The sequence below is a fragment of the Homo sapiens genome, chromosome 17 (assembly GCF_000001405.40).
Source record: "Homo sapiens chromosome 17, GRCh38.p14 Primary Assembly".
NCBI classification, from domain to species: domain Eukaryota; kingdom Metazoa; phylum Chordata; class Mammalia; order Primates; family Hominidae; genus Homo; species Homo sapiens.
In genome coordinates, this window is record NC_000017.11 from 47649594 (window position 1) to 47664370 (window position 14777).

Sequence of the window (14777 nt, forward strand, 5' to 3'; positions counted from 1 at the left end):
TGCCTCCGGTCCACCCTCCTCCCAGCGCTCAGCCGGTCTGAGCTCAAGGCCTTTACCAAGCCCACCCAATCAACGGCGGGCTCTCTCCTACCCCATCCCAATCTCCCTCCCCTCGGCCAATCCGCGCGCTCCATTCCGCTGCCCGCCCAGCCAACCCGGGCCTTGAAACCAGCAGGCGAATGGGCGCGAGACGGCCCTTCGACGCTGAGCGCCTGGCCAGTTAGGGATTCCGCGTGGCCAGGACAACGGCCAATCGTCGTGGAGCGCGGCGCCTCCGCGGAGAGGTCCGGTCCGAATATCCCTCCGCCTTCCTCCCTCCCTCGCTCCCTCCCTGCGCGCCGCCTCTCACTCACAGCCTCCCTTCCTTCTTTCTCCCTCCGCCTCCCGAGCACCAGCGCGCTCTGAGCTGCCCCCAGGGTCCCTCCCCCGCCGCCAGCAGCCCATTTGGAGGGAGGAAGTAAGGGAAGAGGAGAGGAAGGGGAGCCGGACCGACTACCCAGACAGAGCCGGTGAATGGGTTTGTGGTGACCCCCGCCCCCCACCCCACCCTCCCTTCCCACCCGACCCCCAACCCCCATCCCCAGTTCGAGCCGCCGCCCGAAAGGCCGGGCCGTCGTCTTAGGAGGAGTCGCCGCCGCCGCCACCTCCGCCATGGAGCTGATCACCATTCTCGAGAAGACCGTGTCTCCCGGTAGGACGCAGGAGCCGGGGGTAGGGCTGAGGTGATTGGGGTGGGGGAGGGGAGGCCCGGCCCCTCTGACCCCGCTCCGTCTCCCACTTTCCTCCCCCTAGATCGGCTGGAGCTGGAAGCGGCGCAGAAGTTCCTGGAGCGTGCGGCCGTGGAGAACCTGGTGCGTGCTACCCCGCCGCGCCCATCCCGCCGCGTCCCCATCCCCTGCGTGCGGGGCCTTCCCGCCCTCCCGGAGGCCCAGGCCTCGGGAACCTACCCCGCCCCATCCCGTCCCCCTCCCCCCTCCCCCTCCCCCCCCAACCCGGTCCAACCTAACCCCGCCATCGGGAAGCCGGTGGGTGTGTCCCGCCCCGGGCCTCGCGACTGGCCAATGGCTTGGCGCGCCGAGCTGCCTGCCGCCCAATCGTTGCGCGGCCTGAGGGCGGCGGTGCAGCGGGAGGGAGAAAGAGGGAGGGAAGGGAAGTTAGGTTGCGCGGCGCTGCGTGTTCAGCAGGGGTGGGGGCGGGGGAGTCGGGCCTAGGGGCCATGTGGAAGCTCCGGGCCCGGCCGCCCGCCCTGTCTGACCCCGGCCGGCTTCTCCTTCCTATCCCGTGGCCCCTGTGGCTCTCCCCACCTATTTCCTAGAGCTCTGCCCTTTCCTAGCTACCTTGGTCTGTACTCATGGCCAGGCCTGGCACCCGACTGCCTCTTAACCCATTTCCACTGATATTTTTCCCTCTTTGCTCGGTTATTCCTCTCTTGGGGTTTTTTCTTTTTCTTTCTTTCTTTTTTTTTTTTCTTCTGACCTGGATGAATAGAGACCTAATCACTAGGGATCTGCACCCAGAAAACAGACTGAGGCTCATCTTTGAGATGGGGCCTGTTTGCTGATGAAATCACAGGGGAAAGTTCCTCGTTTTTCATATTTTAAAATTTAAGGGGTCCGGAGAAAATGAAGCTAAGTCCGCTAGAGACTGGTCCTTTGTATAAAAATGTGGGATGGATTGGTTGAAACAGCCTAGATGCCAGTTAAGTTTCTCTTTGGTGTCCATCTCCTGTTGGGGGATGGGGTCAGAGGGAAGGATTGGATGATGCTTGACATCTTTGAGAAAGGTAATAGGAATTAAGTCTGAGTAACACTAACCATATGTGTTCCTTTGTGTTATATAGGCAAAATGTCAACATCAACAAAGTGACAAGGCTTATTTTATACAGACTGCCTTTGAATGATTTTTTTGTTGTTTTTCATATGTGCCAATTTTTACAACTAACCTGTTTATCCTTTCCTAGAAGAGATTTTTCCACTAGTATAGGCTGATAATTCCATTTAGGGTATTATTCCTGTTTCTGCTTTTGCAAATTTTGCAAAAAGCTTTTTATCTTATTCCTAACATTCTTAACATTCTTTAGTGGTACATAATTAATAAAACTTTTAAGAATTATCTTCTGCTGTGATTGCAGAGCTTGTTAGCAGTAAGAAAAATGTGTCTGCTTTTGACTTTTCCTGCTAACTTTGCTGTTTGGGCACGGTTTTTGGTGGAGAGGTGTGTGTGTGCTAAATTTTTAAACAAAGGGAGTAGTTTTTGAGGCCTGTGGATTACAAAAGGTTACAAAAGAACATGCTTTTCAGGGATCCACTGTATTCCTCAACTAAAGTCCAAATGTAAAGGAGCAAGTAATTGTTGATCATTAGATACAAAGTTATTTTGCTTGAACAGCTTGCCTGAAGATTTTTTCTTTCACTTTTTCCCTATTTCTAAATATCTTATCACTTTTCCTTATAAATCTGCTTTTTTCATTGTTCCCTTTTTGCTGAGTGCCCACAAATAAAACGGAGGATGAGGCTCCTAAGTTTGTTTTAGGCTTATCTGTATTTCCCCCTCTCATAAAAGATCACCTCCTTCCATGGATTGAAAAGCTACCCTGCTGCTGCCATGAGATGGAAAGTTGGATCATTCTTTTGGGACCAAGGTTTTTGAAATTTAGATAAACAGTTTTATTTTCTACCCCCCATCATAACAGCCATTCATTTAACAAACATTGAGTACCAGACATTATTAAAAGTTCTTGGGACACCTCAGTATACATAGAAGACTGACTACTACTACCATACTCTGAAACCTTGCAATTCGGGGGTCTAACATGACAATTTGGGCACTAAGAATGATCTTGATAGGGAAATCTGTAATTCCTCATTAAGTGCTAGGCTCCACGAGAAAAGTGGAAGACTTCCTGTTACACTAAGTAACATTTTTATAGAAGTCAGTGAAGTAAATATTTTGTGGTTTCCTGAAATGCTTATATCAAAAAAAAATTAGACATTAGTTCCCCCCCTCGCCGCCCCTCTGGTGGTTCAGTGCTCTATAAATTATCCTCAGTTGTGGAAATTCCTAAGATATTTTTATTTACAAATTTATCTTCCCTTAACAGCCCACTTTCCTTGTGGAACTGTCCAGAGTGCTGGCAAATCCAGGAAACAGTCAGGTTGCCAGAGTTGCAGCTGGTCTACAAATCAAGAACTCTTTGACATCTAAAGATCCAGATATCAAGGCACAATATCAGCAGAGGTGGCTTGCTATTGATGCTAATGCTCGACGAGAAGTCAAGAACTATGTGAGTAACGCTTATCTGTTTGGTTATATTGCCCAGAGAACAAGAAATCGCTTTCTCAGATCTTTTGCTATTTGCATGGGATAGAGCTAACAGTGTGATAGGTTTCTGGGACCTCAACTTTACCTAAAGATAAAAATTGTCTTTGTCTTAAATCTTTCTCAACACAGCTTGTCCATTCCCATTGATGGATTGGAATTCTTTTTAGATGACTGAGGTAGGCTGCAGCAGTTTGGGAAACTTTAATTACGTGCCATAATTGGTAAAATCTGTTTGGCAAATGGGAGTAGTGTACAAATTGGTGCTACATTTGTATAAAAATTAGGGAATTTGTTAATAGGTATTTCCAAGCTCTCCAGAAATTCCGATTCGGTACTTCTGGAGTACAGCTCAGGGAATTTTTTTTTTTTTTTTTTTTTGGAGACAGTCTTGCTCTGTTGCCCAGGCTGGAGTGCAATGGCATGATCTCGGCTCACTGCAGCCTCCGCCTCCCAAGTAGCTGGGATTACAGGCACCCACCACCATGCCCAGCTAATTTTTGTACTTGAAGTAGAGACGGGGTTTCACCATGTTGGCCAGGCTGGTCTTGAACTCCTGACCTCAGGTGATCTGCCTGCCTTGGCTTCCCAAAGTGCTGGGATTACAGGAGTGAGCCACCTCGCCTGGCTGTTGTTGTTTTTAAATTAAGTTCTTTAGTGATCTGTCTTACATGGGTAAGGCACAAAGAGGAGTGAGTTAAATATCTGTGCAGTCATCATTTTGTCCTTGGTATTTGAGTGGAAACTAGTGGGGAATTCCTACATATGTACTTGTGCAGGACATGGTTATGCACATCATACTTGCTATTTCCTGGTTCTAGATATCAGCATTAGGTAAAGTAGTGCCCTGTAAGGCAGTAACTTCTGTATCTGGTTGTGTACCTCCTTCTGTCACCAATCTTGCATACCCATGATAAGGAGCCGGGTTATTAAATCCAACTTGGTTTCAAATCGTTTTGGAGCATGTAGAGCTGTTTCTATTCATGTTGGTTCTGCTTGTGTAATAACAACATTTTAATTCCTTCTCCCTCAGCTAAGTGACATAAATGGAAGTATATTCTATCACTGGAAATCTCGATACTGATAGTGCCCATTCAGTTTCTCATCTTCCTTAATTTACACACTAGTAAATGGGATAAGATGTAATTGGAATTGTAATTGGCTTATTTTTTGGCACATCACTCTTAACACCAACCCTTTAAAAAAAAATTAGACAATAATGGCTGGGCGCAGTGGCTCATGCCTGTCATCCCAGCACTTTGAGAGGCCGAGGTGGGTGGATCACCTGAGGTCAGGAGTTCGAGACCAGCCTGGCCAACATGGCGAAACCCTGTCTCTACTAAAAATACAAAAATTAGCTGGCTGTGGCGGTGGATACCTGTAGTCTCAGCTACTCTGGAGGCTTAGGCAGGAGAATTGCTTGAACCTGGGAGGCGGAGATTGTGGTGAGCCAAGATTGCGCATTGCACTCCAGCCTGGGTGACAGAGTGACACTCCATTTCTTAAAAAAAAAAAAAAAAAAAAAATTAGATAATTTGTATAGGCATGGTTAAGCCCTCGGGCATGAGAAAAAAGCTAACAGTACCTTGGCCTTTTTCCCTTTCATAGCACAACGATAACTAATACTAAGTTTCACTGTTGGTGATCTTTTTTGAAATCTGGATATTGGGGCACAATTGGGAGCTAGTTTCTCTTTTCTGATAATTGAATATTACTATTAAGGTTACCTCTAGTTTAAACAGAAAACTTTTAGTACTCAGGAGGTGGACATCCGTAGTTTCTAAATCACCTCAAGTAATATGGAGTCTTCAGAAAGCAATCTAAAGGAAAAAGGTAAAGGTAGAATGGGATTCAGTGCACTCCACATATGTACTAGGAGACTATGTAGTGTGGTGTGAAGGCACCCTGGACTTGGGTTAATAATACCCATTCAGCCCCTGATATTTTGGACAATTCACCTTGTTTTTCCCCCTCATTCCCTCGTGTCTTTGACATACCGTTTTTGTCCATTCTAGCTCTGCTAGTCCTCGAGAGCAAAGCCTTTCATTTAACATCAATCAGAACTGTTTGTAGTTGGGTAGAGCTGATGGGGGTGGGGGCCAGGGATGATGATATACCGTATAAGAAGGAAAGGGGGAGTTCATTATTGGTGCTAGCTGCAAAGCAGGATACTAAGTGATCCGACCCAGTCAGCAGAGCTGGCCTGAATATCTGGCAGCTATTCTTTGTCCCGTGTTCATGCCAGAACAGTTAACTGTTTGCCTTTGAGTGGACTACTGATTCTTAGTGAGTTCATTGACTGAATTAGCTGATCACGGTAATAATTAGCTCTAGGTCAATTGTGGCTTCATCTTTTATCATACCTGTGCCTTTACTCTTTACATAAATGGTGGCGTGGTTACCATGTCAAGCGAGACATGTTTAATGACAAGTGGATCTTGTTTTGACATCTGGCTAGATTTTGGTATCTGTCAGTGATAGAACAGTTCTTTGATTCTTGGGCAAACAGAACAAATCCTTTCAGATTGGAAGTTATATAAAGATTAGTTCATAGGTGTTATTAACATCAGCAACGTTGTTTTTGTATTTAGTGATGTTGTTACTTGACCAAGGCCTTTCTATGTAAGTCACCCCGAATGCTGAGTTGTTAGTGATTAGAAGGAAAAAGTTTTGTTTCAGCCCACGTCTCATGAGTAAGATCTCCTTGGATCAGATTAGACAGTGATCTACTGTGAATAAGACCCACCTGAATGCCCCAGAACTAGCTTCATTCTAGTGTCCATGTCTGTCTACAAAACGAGGGTGTGAACATCCTTTCCTTATAACAGCAACAATGAGCCTGGAAGATGAGTTTTGTCCCCATCTCTCTCCTTTGCCATTTACTGCTACCTCCTCTTGTAACTTCTGGTTTCCCACCTCGTGTTGAAGGTTGAAGTGAGGTGGGATGACTGGTTTTGTTTCTAGGTTCTAGGGCAGTGTTGATTATGCTGATGTTGCTACTGAGGCTGGTTTTTTCTGACAGCCTTTCCTACTTCTCCGTATTATAGATAAGAATTCTGAGGCCAGGCACAGTGGCTCACGCCTGTCATCCCAGTACTTTGGTAGGCCGAGGTGGGTGGATCACCTGAGGTCAGGAGTTTGAGACTGTCCTGGCCAACATGGTGAAACCCCATCTCTACTAAAAATACAAAAACTAGCCGGGCATGGTGGCAGGCACCTGTAATCCCAGCTACTTGCTGGGGGGAGCTAAGGCAGGAGAATCGCTTGAACCCAGAAGGCGGAGGTTGCAGTGAGCCGAGATCGCGCCATCATGCTCCAGCCTGGGGGACACGAGCGAGACTTTGTCTCAAAAAAAAAAAGAATTCTGAGACAGCTGCCTGGGCACAGTGGCTCACACCTGTAATCCTAGCACTTTGGGAGGCCAGGAATTTGAGACCAGCCTGGGCAACATAGGGAGACCCCCATCTCTACTAAAAACCCAAAAAAGTTAGCTGGGTGTGATGGCATGTGCCTGTAGTCTAAGCTACTCAGGGAGGCCTGGGAGGTCAAGGCTGCAGTATCGTTGTGCCATTGCACTATCGTTTTGCTACTACACTCCACCCTGGACAACTGACTGAGGCCTTGTATTTTCCTTTTTTTTTTTTTGAGCCTGGGCAATATGGTGATGCCCTGTCTCAACAAAAGATAGCTGGGCATGTCAGCATATCCACCCCTGTAGTTCAGTTACTCAGGAGCCTGAGGCGGGAGGATAGATTGCACCGTAGAGATTGAGGCTACAGTGAGCTGTGATCGTGCCACTGCACTCCAGTCCGGGCAACATAGTGAGACCCTGTCTTAAGAAAGAAAGAAAAAAAAGAATTCAGAGACACTAATATAAGTATGGTGGTGGGCAAAATGTGGTCAAATAGTGTTAGAAATTTGTATCTTTTGTCTTTTTTTTTGGTGCAGGTTTTGCAGACATTGGGTACAGAAACTTACCGGCCTAGTTCTGCCTCACAGTGTGTGGCTGGTATTGCTTGTGCAGAGATCCCAGTAAACCAGTGGCCAGAACTCATTCCTCAGCTGGTGGCCAATGTCACAAACCCCAACAGCACAGAGCACATGAAGGAGTCGACATTGGAAGCCATCGGTTATATTTGCCAAGATATAGTAAGTGCTTGCCTAATGTATCTGGTTTATATACCTCTGATTGCCTCTAGCTGTGACATCAATGATATTAGTACTACCTTATTGAATCACGAAGAAAGCCAAGCTAAATTGCACAGTTTTGAAAGTGAGACTGATTTATTTCCCTTAGGCCTGTGTCTTCACATTGCTAATCATGCCCTAAAGTAAAGAAACTTGAGGATCGCAAACTGAAAACAGAAGTCTATGTTTGAAGAGTCTTAGATTCTAGACTTACAAAATGAGGATATTCTCATTTGGATTATCCCTGACCCAGTCTTTTTTCTTAAGATCCCGAATGTACCATGAATGTTGTGGCGCATTTTCATTTACAACATTACGGAAAGTTTTGCCAACATTTGATGTAGTTGGTTTAGCCACTGGAGACACAGTATTTTAGATGTAGCCCCCCCAGCACTGTTGTTCCTGATGAGGTTACCACTCTTGGTGTGTATTTTAATATATAGACTTTATGAAGCAAAGGAGCCCACAGCACTTGACCCAGACTTAGACTCCCTAGATGTGCCTAGGTGTCGATCCTTGGCCTTGGCCCTTAAATGCCCTGAAGCTTTACTTTAGAGTACAGATGGCCTGGAAAATACGAACAGACTGCCATCTCCATTTGCACAGAAGTGGGGAGGAAAGCGAATATTACCTCATACCCAGAGTCATTATGCTAAGAAGTCAAAGATGAAGTTGATGAGTTTGACTTGGTTTTGTTCAGTTCTGGATTGCCAGTACCATGAGACATTTTGCAGGTGGTTTGCAGTGTTATTCCCAAATGGAAACGGGTGGGGAAAGATCACCAATTCATGATACTTTCTTGAGTGAACTTTACAGTTAAAAGGACTGCCAATTAAGCCAGGCACAGTGGCTTACACCTGTAGTCCCAGCTGCTTGGGAAGCTGAGGTGGGAGGATCACTTGAACCCAGGAATTTGAGGGTTCAGTGCATTGTGGTAGTGCCTGTGAATAGCCACTGCACTTTAGTCTGGGCAATACAGACCCTGTCTCTTAAGAACAGAAGAAGGACTGCTTCTGTCGTGAAGCTCCTTATGGCAGTCTTTTGGAGGGGATTGATTCCAGCACCCTCCTCAGGTACCAAAATCCTCAGATGTTCAAGTCTGTTACATAAAATGGTGTAGTATTTGCATATAACCTATGCACATCCTCCCATATACTTTAAATCATCTCTAGAATACTTACAATACCTAATTCAATGTAAATGCTATATTAATAGTTGGTATACTGTATTAAGGGAATGATGACAAGAAAAAAAGGTGTACATGCACCTTTTGGTGCAGTACAGATGCAACCATCCATTTTTTTTCCTCTAAATATTTTCAATCCATAGTTGTTTGAATCCACAGATGTGGAACCCATGGCTGCAGAGGGCTGACTGTATATTCATTGCACTTCTCTGCTTGTTACAGGACCCAGAGCAGCTACAAGATAAATCCAATGAGATTCTGACTGCCATAATCCAGGGGATGAGGAAAGAAGAGCCTAGTAATAATGTGAAGCTAGCTGCTACGAATGCACTCCTGAACTCATTGGAGTTCACCAAAGCAAACTTTGATAAAGAGGTAAGTTTTTTGACAATAAGGTATAGATTCAGACAGTAAGGGATGAAAGAGTTGAATGAAAGTTTTTTGTTTTGTTTTCTTAAGTTTATGGTTTAGAAAGTACCACCTACTTAAAAGTATTTGTTTCCAGTTTAGTCGAGTTCGTATTGTGTGAGATATCCCCATGGAGTGTTTGCCGTTTCTCATCATGCTTTTGGAAATAAAGTGTTTCTAAGCTTAGGTTTTTCCTTTTGCAGTCCAAAGTGTGGAATGTTGTTGGGTTTTTTTAAATTATAGGGCATGGTGGTGCATACTGGTACTCCAGCTACTTCAGAGGCTAAGGCGGGAGGATTGCTTGAGTCCAGTTATTCAAGGCCAGCCTGGGCAACAAAGTCAGATATCGTCCCTTAAAAAAAAGAAAGGAATAGGCTGGGCGATGTGGCTTAAGCCTGTAATCCCAGCACTTTGGGAGGCTGAGGCGGGTGGATCATCAGGTCAGGAGTTTGAGACCAGCCTGACGAACATGGTGAAACCCCATCTCTACTAAAAATACAAAAAAATTAGCCGGGTGTGGTGGCGTGCGCCTGTAATCCCAGCTACTCAGGAGGCTGAGGCAGGAGAATCACTTGAACCTGGGAGGCAGAGGTTGCAGTGAGCCGAGATTGCAGCACTGTATTCCAGCCTGGGCGACAGAGCAAGACTGTCTCAAAAAAAATAAAAAATAAAAAAAATAAAAGAAAGAAATTATGGTATGTACTATATATGTTGGTTTACTTTGGTTTCTTTTAAGATTGTGTGAATCTTTTGCCTTGTACTAAAGATTTTGTGGAGGCCGGGTGCTGGGGCTCACATCCAGTAATCCCAACACTTTGGGCCACCAAGGCAAGAGGATCACTTGAAGCCAGGAGTTTGAGACTAGCCTGTGCAACGTAACAAAACCCTGTCTCTAAAAAAATTTCTGTGGAGAAGAACAACTGAGTTGTTAACCAGTTTTGTGAGCTCTTGTGTTTACAGGGCTTATAATGGAAAAAAAATAATGAAAAATGAAATAAATAAAAATTATAGCAATTGGTCTGTTTCATACCACCTTAGGAAGGTGTTTTTAAGAAACAGGATATATAGCCAGGTGCTTTGGCACATGCCTGTAATCCCAGCTACTTGGGAAGCTGAGGTGGGAGGATCACTTGAGCCTGGGAGTTCAAGGCTCAAGATTTCACCACTGTACTTCAGCCTGGGCAACAGTGCAAGACTCTGTCTCCAAAAAAAAAAAATATATATATATGTATATGTATGTGTATGTATAATATATATGTAAACATTTTGGCTGAAAATGCAATGAATAACATAAAATTTACCATCTTAAATCATTTTTAAATGTATAGTTAGTTAAGTAGATTCACATTGCTGTGGAAACAATCTCCAGAACTTTTTCATCTTGCAAAACTGAAACTGTACATACTGAACAACAACTCCTCATTTCCCCCTTTCTCAGCCACTGGTAACGACCATTTTACTTTCAGTTTCTATGTATTTTACTACTCTAACGAAATACCTTACGTAAGTGGAATCATATTTGTCTTTTTGCGACTGGTTTGTTTTACTTAGTATGATGTCCTCGAGATTCATCTAAGGGGTAGCATTTGTCAAAATTGGCTTTTTAAGGGTGATTAATATTCCATTATATGTATATGCCACATTTTGTTTATCTAGTCTTCCATCCATGGCCATTTGGTTTGCATCCACCTTTTGGCTATTGTGGGTAATGCTGCTATGAACATGGGCATGCATGTGTATCTTTGAGACTCTGCTTTCAGTTCTTTAGGGTAAATACCGACAAGTAAAATTGCCAGGGTCATGGTCTGAAAGTATTTCTGTATATATGTTTGTTGACACTTCAGCTGGGTTTTTACCATTTCTTGACTTTGGAAAGGTCTGAAACCCCAGAGCAAATGGCAATTCTAATTGATTAGAAAACTGGATTTTTCCTTAATAGATTTTGGAAGATTTAGGAGGGTAGCACATAAAGTTCATTCTCCCTTTTCTCACCACATTTGATGTGAATTTGCTACCTCTCAGAAAACAAATTTGGTCTCTGAAATAAAGCAGATGTTTTGAATTCTCTTATATAAGGAAACTGATTTTCCTACATGTAAATTTTTATCTTTTAACCATTTTTATTTAAAACTTGTGACCTACATTTTTCTGTTTCCTCCCTGAAGTCTTTGTTAGTGGTCATTTTGGAGATTAAAAGATTAGGGACCTCATTGGAGGGCAAGTCACATAGCAGACACCGAAGGTAAACTCTTTATAGCCTTTATAGTGCTGTACCATCTCAAGGGAGAGTGGCTTGATTGTACCAGGCAGGGCTGTGTGGGGCCCTGAGGGGGAGTGAGAGGTTTTCCTTGTAGAGGGAGTCTGGAAATCTTCCTACGTACAGGTTATGCTCTCCTAATTCTCTTTATTTTTATTCCTCCTACAGTCTGAAAGGCACTTTATTATGCAGGTGGTCTGTGAAGCCACACAGTGTCCAGATACGAGGGTAAGTGTGAGGTTATATGAAAAATCTGTCTTACATCTTTCTTAGGAAATGTCAAATCTAATATAAGTTTGAAATACTGGGAATCAGTTGACTTCAGCAATAAGGTTTGATTAATATTGTTACTAATAATTAATATTCTGGCTGGGCATGGTGGCTCACACCTGTAATCCCAGCACTTAGGGAGGCCATGGCAGGCAGTTCACCTGAGGTTAGGAGTTTCATACCAGTCTGGCCAACATGGTGAAACCCTGTCTCTACTAAAAATAAAAAAAAATTAGCTGGGTGTGGTGGCACGTGCCTGTAGTCCCAGCTGCTGGGGAGGCTGAGGTACAAGAATCGCTTGAACCTGGGAGGTGGAGGTTGCAGTGAGCCAAGATCATGCCACTGCAAACAGACTCCATCTCAAAAAATAATAATGATAATTAATAAAAACATTAGAGAAGAGGGAAGAATTGTCATGGAAGTTGCCATCCTCTTAAAAAAGGTTTAAGGTGCCAGTGTGGTGGCTCACACTATAATCCCAGCAATTTGGGAGGCCAAAGCAGGAGGATCACTGAGGTCAGGAGTTGGAGACCAAACTGGGCAACATAGTGACACCATCTCTACTAAAAAATATGTATACACAAATAAACAGTTAAGGGAGAAAAGGTTTTCGATCAGCTTCGCTACTTCATTGCCGTAGGTTATTCAAGCCATTTCTACTAAAAAATATATATACACAAACAGTTAAGGGAGAAAAGGTTTTTGATCAGCTTTGCTACTTTATTGCCATAGGTTATTCAAGTGATTGTTTTCCCCTGTAGCCATTAAAGCAGCTTTGCTATTGCTATACCCAAAACCTGACCCTTCAAGAAGATAGAAGTAATATCTTCAGTCTGAATAGTATTAGTGAATTTAGCCGTACCATGGGTTCCACACGCACCTTTAATGCAAAAAAAAAGACTGAGGCCAGGCGCGGTGGCTTACGCCTGTAATCCCAACACTTTACAGGCGCATGTCTGTAATCCAGCTACTCAGGAGGCTGAGGCAGGAGAATTGCTTGAACCCGGGAGGCGGAGGTTGTAGTGAGCTGAGATCACACCACTGCACTCCAGCCTGGGAGACTCCATCTCAAAAAAAAAAAGGACTGGCTGTGGTGGCTCACACCTATAATACCAGCACTTTGGGAGACCGAGGCCAGAGGATCACTTGAGCCCAGGAGTTGGAGACCAGTCTGGGCAACATGGCGAAACTCCATGTCCACAAAGATTAGCTGTGCGTGATGGGGCGAGCCTGTAGTCCTAGCTACGTGGGAGGCTGAAGTGGGAGGATTGCTTGAGCCTGGTGGTTGAGGCTGCAGTGAGCCGTGATCATGGCCACTATACTTGCACCAGGGCGACAGAGCAAGAAGACTGTCTCAAAAAAAAAAAAAAGAGAAAAATGGCCGGGCGCAGTGGCTCACACCTTTAATCCTAGCACTTTAGGTGGCCGAGGTGAGTGGATTGTCTGAGCTCAGGAGTTCGAGATGAGCCTGGTCAACATAGCAAAACCCCGTCTCTACTAAAAATACAAAAAATTAGCCGGGCATGGTGGCGGGCACCTGTAGTCCCAGCTACTTGGAAGGCTGAGGCACGAGAATTGCTTGAATCGGGGAGGCAGAGGTTGCAGTGAGCCAAGATCATGCCACTGCACTCCAGCCTGGGCAACAGGAGCGGAACTCTGTCCCTTCCCCGAAAAAGAGAGACAAAATGGGAAAATAAAGGAACAGATAATGAGGGAATTAAAGGGAGAGAATGAATTTTAGGGAAATGATAACGTATCCCATATTTACCTCAATTAATCCTTAGGATTATTGGCCCATTTGAGTGAATCTAACTTTGTCAGATTGCGTTGTTATTTTAGTAAACTATCTGATCTGCTGTTCATAAAAGGTACGAGTGGCTGCTTTACAGAATCTGGTGAAGATAATGTCCTTATATTATCAGTACATGGAGACATATATGGGTCCTGCTCTTTTTGCAGTAAGTATTTCTATTTATGTGATTTGAGCTTGTGGCTAATTACAGAGCCCATCATCCTTAGTCGCTATTTTGCCAATTCTGTAATATTTTACTTAATACTATGGAATCAAGGAAATTCCTCGAGACTGTTCGGTTTAAGCTCATCAGTGGTGTGCCAAGAAAACTGGTGCTAACTTTGTGTGGGTAAAAGACCTTCATTTTGAGGTCAGGCCCGGTGGCTAACGCCTGTAATCCCAGCACTTTGGAAGGCTGAGGTGGGCAGATCACCTGAGGTCAGGAGTTCGAGACCAGCCTGGCCAATATGGTGAAACCCCGTCTATACTGAAAACACAAAAATTAGCTGAACGTGGTGGCACGTGCCTGTAATCCCAGCTACTCTGGAGGCTGAGGCTGGAGAATCGCTTGAACCCAGGAGACGGAGGGTGCAGTGAGCCAAGATCACGCCATTGCACTCCAACCTGGGCCAGAAAGCGAGACTCTGTCTCAAAAAGAAAAAAGAAACAACCTGCATTTTGAAAATCTGAGGCTGGGCATGGTGGCTCACGCCTGTAATCCCAGCAGTTTGGGAGGCTGAGACTGACAGATCGCTTGAGTCCAGGAGTTTGAGACCAGCCTAGGCAATATGGTGAAACCCCGCCTCTACAAAAAATACAAAAATAAGCTGGGTGAGGTGGCATGCACTTGTGGTCCCACCTATGGAGGAGGCTGGGGTGGGAGGTTTGTTTGAGCCTGGGAGGTGGAGGTTGCAGTAAGCTGAGATTGTGCTGCTGTACTCCAGCCTGTGTGACAGAGTGAGACCCCATCACCAAAAAAAAAAAAAAGAAAAGAAAATCTTTCTTTTCCTATCTTTTCTTTCAAGCCTAGCTTCCTTTTTATAGTTACATTTCTGAAATTTGCATGTCTGTGGTTAAAGCCGGGTTGGGGCAGGGACTCACTTGAATCAGTACTTATTTGGGGCCTGGGGTGTTTTTCTTCTTAAGATCACAATCGAAGCAATGAAAAGTGACATTGATGAGGTGGCTTTACAAGGGATAGAATTCTGGTCCAATGTCTGTGATGAGGAAATGGATTTGGCCATTGAAGCTTCAGAGGTGAGCTGGGGAGAACTATTACTCTGAATACGCTTTGGGACATATCTCATTTGTGGATGATGTTCCCCTTCTAGGAGAACTTTATTCTGTCTGGGTTTAGA

The 14777-nt window shown here is 44.7% G+C and overlaps 1 protein-coding gene across 2 annotated transcripts in view, besides 7 other annotated features; it reads left to right on the forward strand.

Annotated features, from left to right (window-relative positions):
• Nucleotides 7-56: a silencer, noted in NCBI's record as "silent region_8631". NCBI's record gives its function as "represses an Ori minimal core promoter by ATAC-STARR-seq in GM12878 lymphoblastoid cells {active_cell/tissue: GM12878}" and the evidence as "EXISTENCE:reporter gene assay evidence [ECO:0000049][PMID:35858748]".
• Nucleotides 67-246: a silencer, noted in NCBI's record as "silent region_8632". NCBI's record gives its function as "represses an Ori minimal core promoter by ATAC-STARR-seq in GM12878 lymphoblastoid cells {active_cell/tissue: GM12878}" and the evidence as "EXISTENCE:reporter gene assay evidence [ECO:0000049][PMID:35858748]".
• Nucleotides 326-14777, forward strand: part of KPNB1 (karyopherin subunit beta 1) — a 35587-nt gene continuing 21135 nt past the window's right edge. Inside the window, exons 1-8 of one of the 2 annotated variants that reach the window (NM_002265.6) lie at nt 326-691; nt 793-851; nt 3101-3283; nt 7267-7467; nt 8915-9067; nt 11526-11585; nt 13496-13585; nt 14566-14676. In NM_002265.6, coding sequence (NP_002256.2) covers nt 652-691; nt 793-851; nt 3101-3283; nt 7267-7467; nt 8915-9067; nt 11526-11585; nt 13496-13585; nt 14566-14676 — 897 coding nt within the window. In that variant the 5' untranslated portion in view covers nt 326-651. Of the gene's footprint in view, nt 692-792; nt 852-1471; nt 1784-3100; nt 3284-7266; nt 7468-8914; nt 9068-11525; nt 11586-13495; nt 13586-14565; nt 14677-14777 lie in introns of those variants that run through there. The other variant, NM_001276453.2, reaches the window with a different exon arrangement.
• Nucleotides 677-746: a silencer, noted in NCBI's record as "silent region_8633". NCBI's record gives its function as "represses an Ori minimal core promoter by ATAC-STARR-seq in GM12878 lymphoblastoid cells {active_cell/tissue: GM12878}" and the evidence as "EXISTENCE:reporter gene assay evidence [ECO:0000049][PMID:35858748]".
• Nucleotides 857-996: a silencer, noted in NCBI's record as "silent region_8634". NCBI's record gives its function as "represses an Ori minimal core promoter by ATAC-STARR-seq in GM12878 lymphoblastoid cells {active_cell/tissue: GM12878}" and the evidence as "EXISTENCE:reporter gene assay evidence [ECO:0000049][PMID:35858748]".
• Nucleotides 1297-1346: a silencer, noted in NCBI's record as "silent region_8635". NCBI's record gives its function as "represses an Ori minimal core promoter by ATAC-STARR-seq in GM12878 lymphoblastoid cells {active_cell/tissue: GM12878}" and the evidence as "EXISTENCE:reporter gene assay evidence [ECO:0000049][PMID:35858748]".
• Nucleotides 10565-10714: an enhancer, noted in NCBI's record as "active region_12313". NCBI's record gives its function as "activates an Ori minimal core promoter by ATAC-STARR-seq in GM12878 lymphoblastoid cells {active_cell/tissue: GM12878}" and the evidence as "EXISTENCE:reporter gene assay evidence [ECO:0000049][PMID:35858748]".
• Nucleotides 14246-14315: an enhancer, noted in NCBI's record as "active region_12314". NCBI's record gives its function as "activates an Ori minimal core promoter by ATAC-STARR-seq in GM12878 lymphoblastoid cells {active_cell/tissue: GM12878}" and the evidence as "EXISTENCE:reporter gene assay evidence [ECO:0000049][PMID:35858748]".